Raw genomic sequence first — 17,725 nt, 5'->3', positions numbered from 1 at the left:
AGATGGTGAGGTGGATATAAGAAATGCTTTGTGGCCGGGCGCGGTGGCTCACGCCTGTAATCCCAGCACTTTGGGAGGCCGAGGCGGGCGGATCACGAGGTCAGGAGATCGAGACCATCCCGGCTAAAACGGTGAAACCCTGTCTCTACTAAAAATACAAAAAATTAGCCGGGCGTAGTGGCGGGCGCCTGTAGTCCCAGCTACTTGGGAGGCTGAGGCAGGAGAATGGCGTGAACCCGGGAGGCGGAGCTTGCAGTGAGCCGAGATCCCGCCACTGCACTCCAGCCTGGGCGACAGAGCGAGACTCCGTCTCAAAAAAAAAAAAAAAAAAAAAAAAAAAATGCTTTGTACTTAATGTGAAACGCTGTTTCAAATACTTACACATAATAAAATCACATTTGGAAAGGTTCTTAAAAGATTTATTCCTTGACCCTGTCTCAAAATCTATCATAATTTTGGGGTGTTGGGTCTGAGCATTTGTGTGTTTTCAGAGCTCTCCAGCTGGGAGCCTCAGCCTCCCAAAGTGCTGGGATTACAGGCATGAGCTACCCACCATGCCCTGCCCACATTACTTTTAATAGAAAGTGAGGTTCAGAAGAGTGACGATTGTAACTTGTCTTAACACAATTAAGAAGCATTACTGGAATTCAAACCTAAAACTAAAGACTCCAAAATCCTGTTTTTTTTTCCTACTTAATCATGTGAACCAATAAGCAATGTGCTTACAACTATCAAAGGCTGACTGTAATCTGGGAAGCAGAAGAAACATCTCTTTCCCCTGGACAAGCTCAACAGACTAACAAAAGACAAGATATTCTGTAAGAATCAGCTCAACTTTACGAACTGCCCACTCTTTTTTTACCTGCTCCAGAATATGAGTCTGCTTGCTGGCCACAGTCTCTTCCTCCTCTTCAGGGGCAGAGGGCACGGATGAGCTAGAAGGTTCCTCCAGGGGCATATCAAACAGCTCTCGGATGGTCTGCTATCGGATAGAACAGAGGGAAGTGTCAGAGTCAACAGAATGCTAGTCTTAGGTCTAAGCTGTAAGGCTGATGGTTCTTGGAACTGTCAGGGGTACCACTGGTTGAAGACGCACGTCTGTGAAGGCCAAAGCAGTCCTTTTTGTTTTTTCTTTTTTGAGACGGTTTTGCTCGTCACCCAGGCTAAAGTGCAATGGCGCCATCTCAACTCACTGCAACCTCCGCCTCTTAGGTTCAAGTGATTCTCCTGCCTCAGCCTTCCAAGCAGCTGGGATTACAGGCGCCCACCACCATGCCCGGCTAATTTTTGTATTTTTAGTAGAGACAGGGTTTCATCATGTTGGCCAGCCTGGTCTCCAACTCCTGGCCTCAAGTGATCCGCCTGCCTCAGCCTCCCAAAGTCCAAAGCAGTCTTCTTTAATAAACAGGAGGAACTCCTGAAGGCGCAGCAGTTTTCTCCTGCATAGGCTAAAAGATCTTACTTAGTACCTGTTTGAAATAGGCTGTGGTGAAGTTGCCTCCCTCAATGGCCATGTCCCCCAACATTCTCTTCTGATTTGCCTTTTTTAGGATGTTCTCCTCCACTGTCCGTTCACTGATAAGCCTAGGGGGTGATGAAGGCCGTGTGTAAGCAGCCAAATATATCCAGGAAACCCCATCAGTAAACGGAAAGTAAGGTGAGGGAAGACTAGGCAATACCTATATATGTGGACATCCCGGGTCTGGCCAATTCGGTGACAGCGGTCCTGGGCCTGAGCATCCATGGTGGGATTCCAGTCGCTGTCATAAAAAACAACAGTGTCTGCTCCTGTCAGGTTCACGCCCACACCCCCACTCCGAGTTGAAAGGATGAAGCAGAATATGCGTTTGTCTGCATTGAACCGTTCCATCAAGGCCTAGAAGGAAAGGGAAAAAAAGATGATACTGGGAGACTTATCCCCCAAAACAGGTCTAAAGGCTTAGTGGCACCCCGTCTGGAAGCCCAAATCCTGGGAAAAGGAGAGAGAAGCGGAGGTGAGCCTCTAAGAGCTGCAGAAACCTGGGTTACCTGTCTCTGTTCAACTCTAGTAGATCCATCCAGGCGCAGGTAGAGATGGCCATGGTAGGTGAGAAACTGCTCCAATACATCCAGCATTCGGGTCATCTGGGTGAAGATGAGCACTCGGTGGCCCTCTGCCTTGAGCTGCCGCAACAGCACTGCCAACGTCTGCAACTTTCCTAAAGAGATATGAAGGGATACAGGGAGCTAGCTACAAGCCGCAATGGGTAGAATGCTTAGCAATGCAAGGCTGGGGTTGAAAGATAATCAATGCTTTAAGCCAAAGTTTCAATTAGCCTAGCAGATCAAAAATGTTTAACTACGGCAGGGCATGGTGGCTCACACCTGTAGTCCCTGCACTCTGAGAAGCTGAGGCAGGTGGATCACTTTAAGTCGGGAGTTCAAGACCAGCCTGGCCAACATGATGAGACCCTGTCTCTACTAAAAACACAAAAATTAGCTGGGCGTGATGGCGGGTGACTGTAATCCCAGCTACTCAGGAGGCTGAGGCATGAGAACTCGGGCTTGAACCCAGGAGGCAGAGGTTGCAGTGAGCTGAGATCCCACCAATGCACTTCAGCCTGGGCAACAAAGCGAGACCCTGTCACAAAAAATATCTATCTACGTTTAACTCCATACAAGTTCTTCCTTTAAGGGCTTCACCTCTTCGGTCTGCTCCAGCCTAGAATCTAACTTCTTGGAGTCTAAAAGAGTAGGGGAATACATAACATCGAGGGAAAAACAGAATCCCCAATGCTTTATGAGCAAGAGATCCTTAAGTATTACAATAGTCATACCACCTGAAATCCAGAACAGATTCACAGGATAGATATCAACAAATCCATGGTCACAGCTTACAGACAGGGATTTAAGGTCACAGATCAGAACAGTAAAGGCTCTTAGAAAGTTTATCTAGTTCAACCTTCCATCAAACACAGAAATAACTTCAACATTTCTGGTAACACAGTTTGAACTTTTATTTTTTTCCTTTTCCTTTTTTTTTTTTTGAGACAGAGTTTTGCTCTTGTTGCCCAGGCTGGAGTGCAATGGTGGAATCTCAGCTCACGGCAACCTCCACCTCCTGGATTCAAGCAATTTTCCTGCCTCAGCTTCCCGAGTGGCTGGGATTACAGGCATGTGCCACCACGTCCGGATAATTTTGTATTTTTAGTAGAGACAGGGTTTCTCCATGTTGGTCAGGCTGGTCTCCAAATCCAGACCTCAGGTGATCCACCTGCCTCAGCCTCCCAAAGTGCTGGGATTACAGGCGTGAGCCACCGTGCCCAGCCTGAACACTTTATTATTTCATTTTTTGAGACAAGGTCTGGCTCTATTACCCAGGCTGGAGTGCAGTGGTGCGATCTCAGCTCACTGCAACCTCTGCCTCCCGGGCTCAAGCCATCCTCCCACCTCAGCCTCCCAAGTAGTTTGGACTACAGGCGTATGTCACCACGCCTGGCTAATTTTTGTATTTTTTGTAGAGACAGGGTTTCGCCATGTTGCCCAGGCTGGTCTCCAACTCATGAACTCAAGTGATCCACTCACCTCAGCCTCTCAAAGTGCTGGGATTACAGACATGAGCCACCAGGCCCAGCCTTATTTTATTTTTGAGACAAGGTCTCACCCTGTCACCCAGGCTAGAGTGCAGTGGCATGATCACAGCTGACTGCACCTCAACCTCCCAGGCTCCTGCAATCCAGCCATCTGAGTAGCTGGGACTATAGGTGTGCACCACTATATCCACTAATTTTTCAGTTTTTGAGGAGACAGGGTTTCGCCATGTTGCCTGGGCTGGTCTTTACTTGCCTCAAGTGAGCTGCCCACCTCAGCCTACCCAAGTGCTGGGATTACAAGTATGAGTCACCACACCCGGCCTTGAACACTTTTAACCAAGACTTTCAGTTCATCTACTCTGAATAGTTTCAAATGTAACAAAAACACTTTTTTTTACTAAAACATTTATTGAACACATATTAATAAAAATTTTGATTTTCTTATATTCTAGGAAATTTAAAAAATCTCGAAACATGTTACTATACAAATGTCTGTGCAGGGCTGTGGAACTAGTCACTTACCCAATAGCCATTCTTGGGTAAAAGAACCTGATTAACCCTGGACAGCTGGCAGAGGTTCTTTGCTCCCAGGTGAAGAAGGCCCCAACCCAAACCCAGAAAATAAATCAAGTTGATCTAAATAAGCCAGAGGTCTTTTTTGCTATTCCCCTTTGTCAGTGATTGCTCTAAGTATGGGCATATAGCTCAGTTTGAGCCAATGAGTTATGAAGCAAAGTCAGCTTGGAGGTCTTTTGTTCCCAGAAAACCTTCTCAGAGTGTTTTGTCTCAACCCCTTGTTTCTTGTTTAGAGGATTGGTGTATACCCTGGAGTTATGGCAGCCATCCTAACATCATGAAGAAACAAAAGCATGAGAATAAAAAGATAAAAAGCTAAAGATGGTACAGCAGGGTAGAAAGATAAAGTCCTGGTCCCTTAAGGCTGGGTGCAATGGCTCACGTGTGTAATCCCAGCACTTTGGAAGGCCGAGGCAAGGGGATCACGAGGTCAGGAGTTCGAGACCAGCCTGGCCAACATGGTGAAACCCTGTCTCTACTAAAAATACAAAAAAATCACCCAGGCGTTGTGGTGGGCACCTGTAATCCCAGCTACTCGGGAGGCTGAGGCAGGAGAATACCTTGAAACACAGCGAAACTCCATCTCAAAAAAAAAAAAAAGGCTGGGCGCAGTGGTTCACACCTGTAATCCCAGCACTTTGGGAGGCCAAGGTGGGCAGATCACGAGGTCAGGAGATCGAGACCAGCCTGACCAACATGGTGAAACCCCGTGTCTACTAAAAATACAAAAATTAGCCGGGTGTGGTGGTGTGCACCTGTAATCCCAGCTACTCAGGAGGCTGAAGCAGGAGAATCGCTTGAACCCAGGAGGCGGAAGTTGCAGTGAGCCGAGATCGAGCCACTGCACTCCAGCCTGGGCGACAGAGTGAGACTCTATCTGAAAAAAAAAGAAAGAAAGAAGGAAGAAAAGGTCCTGGTCCCTGAAAATATCGTTAAGCTACTGAAACAGCTACACACCACTATTCTCAGATTGGCTCATTAAGAAAACAATGACTGTTAGTTGGTTTTCTGTTACCGCCAAATAATTCTAGTCAACACAAAAAGGTCCTTGTCTTTTCCAAGACCAAAATTTACTGTTTACTTACTGTGCAGTCTTGTACCACCAGACATCTTTTCCCATACAGCTAAATAAAAACTCTATGCTGCACTGTCTTACTTGCTATTGTATCCCAAATGATTAGCAAAATGTAACATGTTCACAAAATGATCACTGAATGAAGGAGTTAGCAGCACATTTTCAACTTTCATGAAAGTCAAATTCATGGCCGGGCATGGTGGCTCATGCCTGTGATCCCAGCACTTTGGAGGCTGAGGCGGGAGGATCGCTTGAGGTCAGTAGTTCGAGACCAACCTGGCCAACATGGCGAAATCCCATCTCTACTAAAAATACAAAAATTAGCCAGGCATGGTGGCGTATGTCTGTAATCACAGCTATTCTGGAGGCTGAGGTGGGACAACCACTTGAACCTGGGAGGCTGCAGTGAGCTGAGACTGCACCACTGCACTGCACTCCAGCCTGGGCGACTGAGCGAGACTTTGTCTCAAAATAAAAAAAAAGAAGAAAGTCATATTTATGAATGTCAAGAATCTAACAAGGCTTACATTTCTCTATCTTGCCCATAAGCATAACCTAAAAAACCATCTAAAGCTTTACAGAAATCGCAAGAGAACTTAAGTGCAGCATCCCTCTGATACAACAGTCTTAATACTAAGAAAAGAAGAGAAGTCAAGGGTCCTACACTGGCCAACAAACTCACCGCAATCATACTGGATGAGTCTTAAGTCAGGGAACTGGGTGCGCATGTTACACACAATACGGTGCAAAGGACGAGCCCGGGGCCAGAGCTCAGAGGCCAATTGCTCCTGGAAGGCTGCCTGACGTGGGGCCAGCCAAGGAGGTGGGTGGCAGGCATGCAGGGAAGGGGGAGGTGCCTCCACAGGAGGCATGACAAAGATGAACCTGTGAAAGGAAGAAGCAGGCAGTGTAAAAGATGGGACTCTGAAATGCCCCAGAAGTTAACACCTTCACCAGCCCTAAGCACTACATCCACTCTGAGGCCCCAAGACCCACTCCCCATTAGCACTTAGCCCTGCCAACCTCTCAATGATTTCTGACAGCTGGTCTAGTCGCTGCTGGGGAAACAGTACAGCCCGGTGGGCAGCCTCGGTATAAGTCCAAAAGGTGGGGTGGCTGGGGCCAGGAGAACGAGGGCCGATGGGGCTGGCAACAGGTTGGGGCAGGGTACAGAAATCCAGGACTTCAGTCCCATACACAGGTGCCAGGGCCCCATGAGCCTCACTAAGTTGGAAAATCCGTTCCAGGCGTTCAGACCGCTGCCGCTTCCGCTTTTCCTCCAGGGAGTCCTGGGGGTGAGAGAAAAAGAGGAAGTAATCAGCACCCTCAGAGTCCACATCAAAACCTGACTGTTCTTCCCAGATGGAAATAAATATATAGAAACCATGGGATCCAAAAATACACTATGCTTTTTGTAGTTTTCCAAGTTATCAATGAGAACTATTCTTTCTCAGAAGTTATGTTAAATAACTTTCTTTTTTATGTTAAATAACTATTCTTTCTCAGAAGTTATGTTAAGTAACTTCTCTCCTAGAGAAAACTGATCTTTCCTTGTATGCTACCAAAGCAGAATGACTGAATATTCAAAATTAAGATCTACAATTCCAACAAGTTTATAGAATGGACGATTTGTGGGTATTTTCCTACGTAACACTCAACTCCAGGACTATAGCCTTCTTCAAATCACTGACCAGGATACAGAGGCGCCAATCAAATCCAGACCAGGTTTTTGCCAAGGGCCAGACTGGAATGGGGTGGAATGGGAACAGCTAACCGGACATCCGAGTCTCATCACTCTGAGACAGAAAATGGGCAACCCGGCAGTGAGGACACCTGGATGACTTTGACCCAATCCTTTCCCATCTTTGTGCTTCCAGTTTCACAGTCTGAAAAACTTCTTTGTATCACTTATTATGCTTGTAGTTACACATCTGTATGATTATTTAACTAATATCTATCCACTACACGGTAGGCCCCATACAACATGAACTGTGCCTTGCTCACTATAATCACTCAGTAACTAGCACAATTAAGCTCTCAATACATTTATCTGTTAACAAAATGAACAAATGAGGGAGACTAGACCCCAAGAGATAGTTGTGAAAAGAGGAGTGTTCCAAATCTCCTTCCTGACTGCTACCAAGTTTCACCTCTTGGCTTGAAGTGCTCTATGTGAGGGAAAAAAGGTGTCCTAGCAGACGGAAAAACCAATAAACTCAAAGAGCTAGTTCCTTTTGAGGCTAGCTCCCAATAGTAGCAAAAAGAGAAAATCTGGCCAGGAGCAGTGGCTCAAGCCTATAATCCCAGCACTTTGGGAGGCCTAGGTGGATGGTTTGAGCCTCCTATTCAAGACCAGTTTGGGCAACATGGCAAAACCGCATCTCTACAAAAAATACAAACAAGGGCCAGGCGCGGTGGCTCACACCTGTAATCCCAGCACTTTGGGAGGCCGAGGCGGGCAGATCATGAGCTCAAGATATCAAGACCATCCTGGCCAACATGATGAAACCCTATCTCTACTAAAATTACAAAAAAGTTAGCTGGGCGTGGTGGTGCAAGCCTGTAGTCCCAGCTACTTGGGAGGCTGAGCAGGAGAATCGCTTGAACCTGGGAGGCGGAGGTTGCAGTGAGCTGAGATCGCACCACTGCACTGCAGCCTGGTGACAGAGTGAGTCTCCATCTCAAAAAAAGAAACAAACAAGTAGCCTGGCATGGTGGCACAAGCCTACAGTCCCAGCTACTTGGAGGGCTGAGATGGGAGGTTCACTTAAGCCCAGGAGGCTGCAATGAGCGGAGACTGTGCCACTGCACTCTAGCCTGATTGACAAAGTGAGACACTGTCTCAAAAAAAAGACTATTTGTAAACCATACGTCTGAAAAAGGATCTGTAATCAGAATATATAAAGAACTCTTACAACTCAATAATAAAAAGACAACCCATTTTAAAAGGGCAGAGGATCTGAACAGATAGTTCTTCAAAGATACACAAATGGCCAGCATGGTATTTCAACCACATGAAATAAAGCTCAACATTAGCCAACAGGGAAATTCAAATCAAAATCACAATGAACTACTACTTCACACCCAGCAGGATGGCTATAATCAAAGTGATGATGTGCCAGGCATGGTGGCTCACACCTGTAATCCTAGCACTTTGGGAGGCTGAGGCGGGCAGATCACTTGAGGTGTGGAATTCGAAACCAGCGTGGCAAACATGGTAAACCCCATCTCTACTAAAAATACAAAAAAATCTGGCCAGGTGCAGTGGCTCATGTCTATAATCCCAGCACTTTGGGAGGCCAAGGCAGGCGGATCACCTGAGGTCAGGAGTTCGAGACCAGCCCGGCCAACATGGTGAAACCCCATCTCTACTAAAAATAAAAAAATTAGCCAGGCGTGGTGACGCCATGCCTGTAGTCCCAGCCACTCGGGAAGATGACACAGGAAAATCGTTTGAGCCTGGGAAGTGGAGGTTGCAGTGAGCCGGGATGGTGCCACTTTACTCCAGCCTGGGCAACAGAGCAAGATTCTGTCTCAAAAATAAAATAAAATAATAAGAATACAAAAAAATTAGGTAGGCATGGTGCCACATGCCTGTAATCCCAGCTACGAGGGAGGTTGAGGTGGGGTCACTTAAACCCAGGAGACAGAGGTTGCAGTGAGCCAAGACCGTGCCAAAGCACTCCAGCCTGGGTAACAGAGCAAGACTCCTTCTCAAAAAAAAAAAAAAAAGTATTGGCTCAAATGTGGAGAAACTGGAATCCTCACAGACTGCTGGTGGTAATGTCAAATGCTGCAGCCACTTTGGAAAAGTCTGGCAGTTCCTTAAACAGTTAAAACCTAGTTACAATATAACCCAGCAATTCTTCTCCTCAGTATGTATCTAACAGAAACTGAGAACACCTGTCCATACAAAAACTTGTACATGAAATGTTCACAGCAGCATTGTTCATAACAACCATAAAGCAGAAGTAACACACGTTTCCATCAACTCAAGGATAAAATGTGGTATTCATACATTATTATTCAACATAAAAACAAATGAAGTACTGATATACGCTATAACACAATAAAATTCAAAGAACATTAATCTAAGTAGAAGATGCCAGTCACAATGGACCACACATTATACATTATGACTCCATAGGCAAAACTAGAGAAATAAAAAAGTAGGATGGTAGTCATTCAAGACTAGGAGGGACGGAGGGATTGGGGAATGCTGGCTAACAGGTGCAGCGTTTCTTTTTGGGGCCACGGAAAGGTTCTAAGTTGATTGTGTTGATGATTGTACAACCCTATAAATATATTAAAAACCTATTGTACAGTTTAGGGCCAGGCATGGTGGCTCACACCTATAATCCCAGCATTTTGGGAGGCCGAGATGGGAGGATCACTTGAGGCCAGGAATTCGAGACCAGCCTGGTCAAGAGTGGGAGACCCCCATCTGTATTTAAAAAAAAAACCAAAAACTATTGTACAGTTTAAATGGGTAAATCGAATGGTATATGATTTATAGCACAAACTGTTACCAAAAAAAACCAAGTGGCAAGAGGCTATTATCTACTTGCAGAGCAATCCCTCTACTCTCTACTTCCAACCAGCCAGGACCAACCTAGCGGCTGGTCAGGTAAAAACCAAAGGTGGAGTCAATGGCACTGGTGGAAGGTGGGGGAGTAGGCATGAAGCAAAGACTAAGCAGCAGCTCTGATTACAGTGGGGAAAAGCCAGAGGGCGTGGAGGGACCCACTGGACCTTCCTTCTCCTTAGTTCTGGTTTACTTAAGCTGAACTGTGAGTTTAACTCAAGTACTACACAGACATGGGCCTATATACATAGTACAGGAAAGAAACAGCTACCGGAAATCATAAAAGGGACAGAGAAGAGTTCCTTTTACTGCCCATTTATTACCGTGCGGGTTAAAAAACGGGAAAAGAGGCCGGGCGTGGTGGCTCACCCCTGTAATCCTAACACTTCAGGAGGCTGAGGCAGGCGGATCATGAGGTACACGCCCAGGGAAGAGAAGGGACTTGTCCAAATGTCACTCAAGTACTTGGTCCATAACATTAAGCTTTGTAATTCACCAGGTTAAATGTGACATCACTGTTCCATCCACCCTACCAACACTCCAAAGAAACTCAACTTCCTGTTCCCTCTTGAGGAAGTAAAACTTACCAGATAAAAAGGGGAACGAGGTGGTGGGGGGGGCTGGCGTCGAGGCCGGGGGCCACCAAACGAGGTAGCAGTGGAGGGAGGGCTGGGGGGACCAGAGCGCAATGTCAGTGTGTCAGGCTCATCCTTGGAAACAGGCAGCCGGGATACCATGGTGACAGGCAAGGGAGCGGCACCAGATGCCGAAACCACAAGGGAAGATGCCTGGGAAGCTGGGGACTGTGTGGAGGCTGGGGCCAGCGCCAAGGTCTGAGCTGCGGCCGGGCCCAGGGTAGGAACTGGGGCAGGGCTCAAGGTCAGTGTCTGCACTGAAGCTGGGGCCAGGAGTGAAGCAGATGACGATGCTGGAGCCAAAGTCAGCGTGTGAGCTGGGGCTGGGCCCACTGGAGAAGCTGGAGCCAGAGGGGGTGCTGGAGCCAGAGACAGCGTCTGAGTTGGACCCAGTGGTGGTCCTGGTGCCAAAGACAGTGTCTGGGCTGGAGTTGGTACCAGGGATGATGCTGGAGTTAATGACAATGTCTGAGTTGGAAAGGGTCCCTGGGGGTTCCCCGTTCCCAAAGAGAGTGTCTGAGATGGAGATGAGCCTCCAAGAGTGGGTGCTAAAGCTGGGGCTAGGGCCAGTGTCTGCGTAGAAGCCGGGCTCGGGAGAGGTGACGGAACCGGGGCTGGTAGCATAGTTTGAGTTGATGATGGAGCCAACACAGGGGTTGGAGCTGGTACCGGTGAAGCTGAGGCTAAAGAGGTTCCTGGAGTAGACGATGGAGCCATAACTGGAACCGGAGTCTGTGATGAAGCCAGGACAGGAGCAGCACCTGGCGATGGTGCCAGGACCGGAAGAGGAGCCAGAGGAGGAGCTGGAGAAGGAGCCAGAATTGCTGTCTGTGGAGCCGCCATAGGAGCCAGAGGGGTGGCTAGAGCCTGAGATGCAGAAGATGCTGGAGCCAGAAGGGAAGCCTGAGCTGGAGCTGGATTTGGTGCTGACGGAAAAGGACTGGCCAGAGCCGAAGCTGGCACCAGGACAGGTGAGCATGCTGGGGCCACGGTTGAGTTCAACCCTGGAACATGTGAAGAGGTGGGAGCCAACAACAGAGGGTGACCAGGTGTCTGAGATGAAGACAGGGATGGAGCTGTGGCCAAACCTAGAGTCAAGGCTGATGCTGACGGGGAAGCACCAGATGGTGCCAAGGAGGGAGGTCCAGGAGCCGCTGGGACAACAGGTGCCAATGGTGGAGTCACACTGGTCAACAGAGCTGGGCCCGAAGCAGAAACAGTCAAGGGGGCTGAGATGGGGATGGTGAGTGGAGCCGAGGCTGGGGCAGGAAGTGTGGTGGGGACAGAGATGGGGAGTGAAGATGACAATGGAACTGAGACTGTAGAGGACACAGGACTAGCAAGGGGAGAGGAGTTGGGAATTGGCATTGGAGAAGAGGCTGGCCCAGGGAGGGAGGATGGCACGTGGAGAGGAGAAGAGATGGTCAAGGGGGCAGCTCCGGGGGCTGAAGCTGTGGAGAGAGAGGATGAGTTAGCCCCAGAATTCTTTTCCTGAGCCTTTCTACTCCCTGTCCCATCTTTCCCATACCCCCAAGCTTCCCATTTCCCAGAAGGCATTCACTCCCACAACATGAAGTCAAACATCCAAGTAATCTGACAACTTTAGATTTTCTTCCCCTCCAAGATTCCAGCAAATAGATCTTGAAATTAGGTCAGGGCTCAGGCAGCCCAGTTCTGGGGCCCACTACAAATCAAGGCAGTACGCTGATATGAAAAAACCTGTACTAAAACTAAGAAACCTTGAGGCGACCCCATCTCGTCTCCATTCCTGGCAAGGATTTCTGGCCTCAGCCACCTGGACTCACCACTGACTTCAGGTGAAGGACTGTGGACCAGCTTGAGAAGAGGCCTCACCAGAGTGGGTGTGGGCATGGGGGCTCGAGCAGTACCCAGAGTAGGTGTGGGTAGCCGGCCAGGGGTTAACGTGGGGCGTGGATTCAACACAGCTGGAAGCCCAGAGCTCGGAGGCCGGGGTGCTGGGGCCAATGGAGGAACAGGAGTCAGTCCATCCCGAGGGGCTTGTCTCACTACAATCTTCACCACGCCTGTATTATTCACCATGGTTGGTGGCACTGCAAGAGGAAGCTACACTGAGAGGAAGGTAGAAAAGAAACAAAAGACCCAAAGAATGGAAGAAGTCCAGGGGCAGGAGAAGGTGGCAGACAGGTATCATAGATATTCGCAAGGGAAAACAACACTGAGGGAAGGCTGGACAGACAGTAGCCCAGCGCATGCCTGGAAGGACCAAGGCCAGCAAGGGCTAAGTAGGAAGGCCAGGAGCCTCACCCTGGTTAGCAGCAAGCGGAAGGCTGAGGCCAGTAGGGGCAGGGGTGGTGCTGGGGGTCGAAGAAGGCAGCACAGAGACAGGGGTAGGGCCAGGGGTCGGGGCCACGGCCTGGATGAGGGCCACATGGGCAGGCTGGCTGATGAGATGGTGCTGCCCCCCTGCTGACACGAGGTGCACCACATTCCCTGGGTTAAGGGAAGAGAGAAAGAGAGAGAGAAGCAGCTATCAGCCTGAGGAGGGCAGAGGCAAGGCAAGAAGAGAAGAAAAGAACAGAGAGGGAATACATTCTCTAGAATGACCTCTTCCCTATCTTTATCCAAGATCCCTCCAACCATGCCCGTTGGCCCCACCCACCAAAAGCTTGGGTAAGAAACATAAAGGCTGACATTCAAAAAAGTCACAAAAACAAAGAGACAGGGAAGAGGAGGAAAAAGGCAGGACAGGGGGTGGGTTTTACCTACTTTGCAGCGGGCGGGGCTGCCCCACAGCAAGCTGGCGCACCTGGGCACCAGTCAAAGTCAGCTTGTTGCCCTGGATTTGGAAGGTGAGAGGTTTGCTTCCCCCTGCATTAGCCACTGGACGTTGTGCCAGTGAGGCTAACTGCCCGATGCTGACCACTTCGCCTGCTAAAAACAGAGAAGGCCTTATTGTACACAAGGCTCATCCTGCTCAACACCACTTCACAGACCCCATGAAGCACACCTCTCCCCCGAGTGTCCAGTTCAAACAACTAAGCCCTTCCCACAATTTACCATGTCCCAATAAACTCAGCCTCCACCTACAGCCTTTGAGCTTTTCATGTGCTACTCCTTCCAATCCCATTTGCTTAGCAATCTCTTTTATATCCTCTAACATGGCCTGCCACCAGACTGAGCTAATCACCACCATCTGCTCTACACTGTCCTTTTACCCCAATACTTTTCTACTGCTAGGCTTACCACTATTTATTCATCTATGTGTCATCTCCCTATGTCAATTTCTTAAGGGCTCTTAATTATGATCTGACAATGTCTGGCATAATGCCTAACATATGTTAGCTGCCTCAATTTTTTTTGACACAGGGTCTTGCTCATGATTGCAGTGGCGTAACCATGGCTCACTGCAGCTCCAAACTCCTGGCTGAAGCAAACCTCCCACCTTGGCCTCCCAAAGCACCGGGATTATAGGCATGAGCCATCATGCCTGACCCAGCTGCCTAAAATTTGATGCTCTCATGGTCCTGAGCTTTCCTCCCATCTCAAGTCCCTCACCACAGAGCCCTGGGAACTTACAGGGCAGGCGAGCCTGCATATCGGGAGATAGAATGAGGCGCTGTGGTGCAGGAGTCGGAGCTGGCACTGCTGTGGTGGTAGCAGTTGCCGTGGTGGTAGAAGTGGTGGTGGCAGCAGCAGGAGGGAAGGTGTAGCCTGGTGGCACTGTCAGGGGCTTCAACAGGCTAGAGGAGCCTGGAGGTGGGGCTGGGCTCAGGCGAACTGGGGCAGGTGGTGTTGGCTTTAGGGACAAGGTTGGCGTGGGAGGCCGTGAGGTCCCACTCAGGACCCCCAGGGGGGATGGCAACACTGCAGACACAAAGCAAACACCTGTCAGATATACCCTGACTAAAGCCTTAGCCTGGTGCCAGAAGCCTCCATACTCCCTTCCAACCCATCAAATACTAGACCCGTGTCCCCAGCCCAGCTCCTCAAACCCTTTAATTTCACTACTTCCTCCTCAGTCTGAACAACCTTTCTGAAGCACCACGCATCATCCTTGGCTCCCTTTCAACTCACCCTGGGGGAGAGAACCACTGTTGGGCTGCAGTGGAGGCAAGAGGACAGGGCCAGGAGGCCGAGATGCAGGAATAAGCGGGGGCCCGGCAGGTGAGGCTGAAACCATCAGTGATGCTGGCAGCACTTGGGGGACTGGGCCAGGGGTGGGCTGGGCTGAGAGCTCAGGACCTGGAGGAGGTCGAACTGGGACAGGGCCCAGGGGCGCCCGTGGGTTGTTCACCACCACCACTGTCCGGCCTTCTTGCTTAGGTACTGGCTGCAGCATCCTGTGAGAAAAAATTAAGAGAGTGGGTAGGGACAGAAGGAGAATAAGGGGTAGCAATATCAAAGAAAAGAAGAAAATGAAACAGAGAGACAGATTATAAAAGCAAAGAAAAGGAAAGAGACCCAAAGGAGAACAAGGAATAGGAATTTAAGACAATCAGAAAGCACCGAACAGAGAGAAAGGGAGAAAAAGTGACTAACACAGAAGCCCATCCCAGTACCCTCTTCTAGTTATTCTCTCCCTGATTCCCTCCACGTTTGCACCCATCCCATATAAATATTCCAGCCTTGCATCCAACTCTTTTCTTCCCACCCCAGGCCCCTCTGGGCAGCTTTCAGCCACTTATTCTAGGAACCATCCCCTCATTCCTTAGTCCTTGTACCTGTTGACCTTCATCTTGACTGGCTTGGGCCGGGGTGGGGGGTCAGGAGCAGTAGCCACTTCTAACAGTACCCGGCGAGAGAGGCGGTGCCGGGGCAGAAATGTGTCTGCCTCATATCGAGAGACACGACCTTCCAGGCCAATAAGGTCAAATCGACCCATGTCTATCCGCTGCCACAAGAAAGAAAGCACAGTCATAAAGAAGAACAAAATCACATCCTTTGCAACGCAGATGTAGCTGGAGGCCATTATCCTTAAGTGAATTAACACAGAAACAGAAAACCAAATACCACATGTACTCACTCACAAGTGGGAGCTAAACATTGGGTACGCATGGACATGAAGATGAGAACAATATACGCCAGAAACGACTGTGGCGGGCAAGGGGCTGAAAAACTACCAGTTGAGTACCATGCTCACAACCTGAGTAACAGGATCAATCGTACGCCAAACCTCAGCATCATGCAATATACCCCATTTAAGAAACCTGCACATGTACACCCTTACTCCAAAATAAAAGGCTAGGCACGGTGGCTCAAACCTGTAATCCCAGCTCTCTGGGAGGCCAAGATTGGGGAACTGTGTGACCCCAGGAATTTGAGATCACCCTAGGCAACATAGTAAGACCCCGTCTCTACAGAAAATACAAAAATTAGCCAGGCATGTTAGCATGTACCTGTAGTCCCAGCTACTCAGGAGGCTCAGGCGGGAGGACTGCTTGAGCCCAGGGAGCTGAGGCTGCAGTCAGCTATGATCATGCCAATGCACCCCAGCCTGGGCCACAGAACAAGACCCTGCCTCAAAATTAAAAAAAAAAAGGCCGGGTGCGGTGGCTCACGCCTGTAATCCCAGCACTTCTGGAGGCCGAGGCGGGTGGATCACGAGGTCAGGAGTTCAAGACCAGCCTGGCCAAGATGGTGAAACCCCATCTCTACTAAAAATACAAAACATTAGCCAGGCGTGGTGGCACGTGCCTGTAATCCCAGCTACTCAGGAGGCTGAAATGGAGAATTGCTTAAACCTGGAGGGGCGGAGCTTGCAGTGAGCCAAGATCGTGCCACTGCACTCCAGCCTGGGTGACAGAGTGAGACTCCATCTCAAAAAAAAAAATAAAAATAAATAAATAAATAAATAATAGGCGGGGCACCATGGCTTATGCCTGTAATCCTACTACCTTGGGAGGCCAAGGTGGGCAGATCACTTGAGGCCAGGAGTTCGAGACCAGCCTGGCCAACATGGTGAAACCCCATCTCTACTAAAAATACAACCAGCATGGTTGTGCACACCTGTAGTCCCAGCTGCTCAGGAAGCTGAGGCACAAGAATCGAGAATCGCTTGAACCCAAGACGCAGAGGTTGCAATGCGCTGAGACTGCACCATTGTACTCCAGCCTGGGTGACAGAGTAAGACTCTGTATCAAAAAAAAAAAAAAGTAGTAATAACAACACAATGCAGTGTCAAAGATGCCAATTTTACAATGATTTATTGGACATGATGCCAAAAGCACAGCCAACAAAAGAAAAAAATTGATAAATTGAACTACATCAAAATTTAAAACTGGGGGCCAGGTGCAGTGGCTCACACCTGTAATCCCAGCACATTAGGAGGCCAAGGCAGGCAGATTATCTGAGGTCAGGCGTTCGAGACCAGCTGGGCAACGTGGTGAAACCTCATCTCTACTAAAAATACAAAAATTAGCTGGGAGTGGTGGCACACACCTGTAGTCCCAGTTACTTGGGAGTGAGGCAGGAGAATCACTTGAACCCAGGAGGTGGAGGTTACAGTGAGCTGACATCGCACCACTGCACTCCAGCCTGAGCGACAGAGTAAGACTCCATCTTAAAAAAAAAAAAAAAAGCCAGGCACAGTGGCTCACACCTGTAATCCCAGCACTTTGGGAGGCCGAGGTGGACAGATCACCTGAGGTCAGGATTTCAAGACCAGCCTGGCCAACATGGCGAAACCCCATCTCTACTAAAAATACAAAAATTAGCTGGGCGTGGTGGCGCATGCCCGTAATCCCAGCTACTCGGGAGGCTGAGGCAGGAGAATCACTTGAACCCGGGAGGCAGAGGTTGCAATGAGCTGAGATTGTGCCATTGCACTCTAGCCTGGGCAACAAGAGCAGAACTCTGCCCCCCCCACCCAAAAAAAAATTAAAACTAGGTGTGGTAGCTCACGCCTATAATCCCAGGGCTTTGGGAGGCCAAGGCGGAAGGATCACTTGAGGCCAGGAGTTCAAGACTAGTCTAGGCAACATATCAACATCCCATCTCTACAAAAAAATTAAAATAAAAAAATCAGTCAGGCATAGTGGTGCACGCATATAGTTCCAGCTACTCGTCCAGGAGTTTGAAACCAGCCTGAGCGACATGGCAAGACACCATCTCTTCCAGAAAACTAAAAAAAAAAAAAAAAATCAGCAGGGCCGGGTGCAGTGGCTCACATCTGTAATCCCAGCACTTTGGGAGGCCAAGGTGGGCAGATCACAAGGTCAAGAGATGAAGACCATCCTGGCAAACATGGTGAAACCCCATCTCTACTAAAAACACAAAAGTTAGCTGGGTGTGGTGGTGCGTG

General features: G+C 49.0%; 1 protein-coding gene across 1 annotated transcript in view, besides 1 other annotated feature; it reads right to left on the bottom strand.

Moving 5' to 3' along the window:
• SRCAP (Snf2 related CREBBP activator protein) overlaps positions 1–17,725 on the bottom strand; it is a 42,239-nt gene that overhangs the window by 5,932 nt on the left and 18,582 nt on the right. Inside the window, exons 19-31 of the mRNA NM_006662.3 lie at positions 15,147–15,316; positions 14,500–14,765; positions 14,002–14,289; positions 13,192–13,356; positions 12,730–12,915; positions 12,249–12,515; positions 10,396–11,894; positions 6,247–6,512; positions 5,906–6,108; positions 2,029–2,198; positions 1,680–1,876; positions 1,470–1,584; positions 863–982 (exon numbers count right to left, since the gene is read on the bottom strand). Of these exons, the coding sequence (NP_006653.2) occupies positions 863–982; positions 1,470–1,584; positions 1,680–1,876; positions 2,029–2,198; positions 5,906–6,108; positions 6,247–6,512; positions 10,396–11,894; positions 12,249–12,515; positions 12,730–12,915; positions 13,192–13,356; positions 14,002–14,289; positions 14,500–14,765; positions 15,147–15,316 (3,912 nt within the window). The remainder of the gene's footprint in view (positions 1–862; positions 983–1,469; positions 1,585–1,679; positions 1,877–2,028; positions 2,199–5,905; positions 6,109–6,246; positions 6,513–10,395; positions 11,895–12,248; positions 12,516–12,729; positions 12,916–13,191; positions 13,357–14,001; positions 14,290–14,499; positions 14,766–15,146; positions 15,317–17,725) is intronic.
• Positions 3,628–3,787: an enhancer, noted in NCBI's record as "active region_10721". NCBI's record gives its function as "activates an Ori minimal core promoter by ATAC-STARR-seq in GM12878 lymphoblastoid cells {active_cell/tissue: GM12878}" and the evidence as "EXISTENCE:reporter gene assay evidence [ECO:0000049][PMID:35858748]".

This window comes from Homo sapiens, chromosome 16 (assembly GCF_000001405.40).
Source record: "Homo sapiens chromosome 16, GRCh38.p14 Primary Assembly".
NCBI lineage: Eukaryota > Metazoa > Chordata > Mammalia > Primates > Hominidae > Homo > Homo sapiens.
The sequence above is the reverse complement of the archived record's forward strand: the minus strand, read 5'-3'. Positions and strand labels throughout refer to the sequence as shown.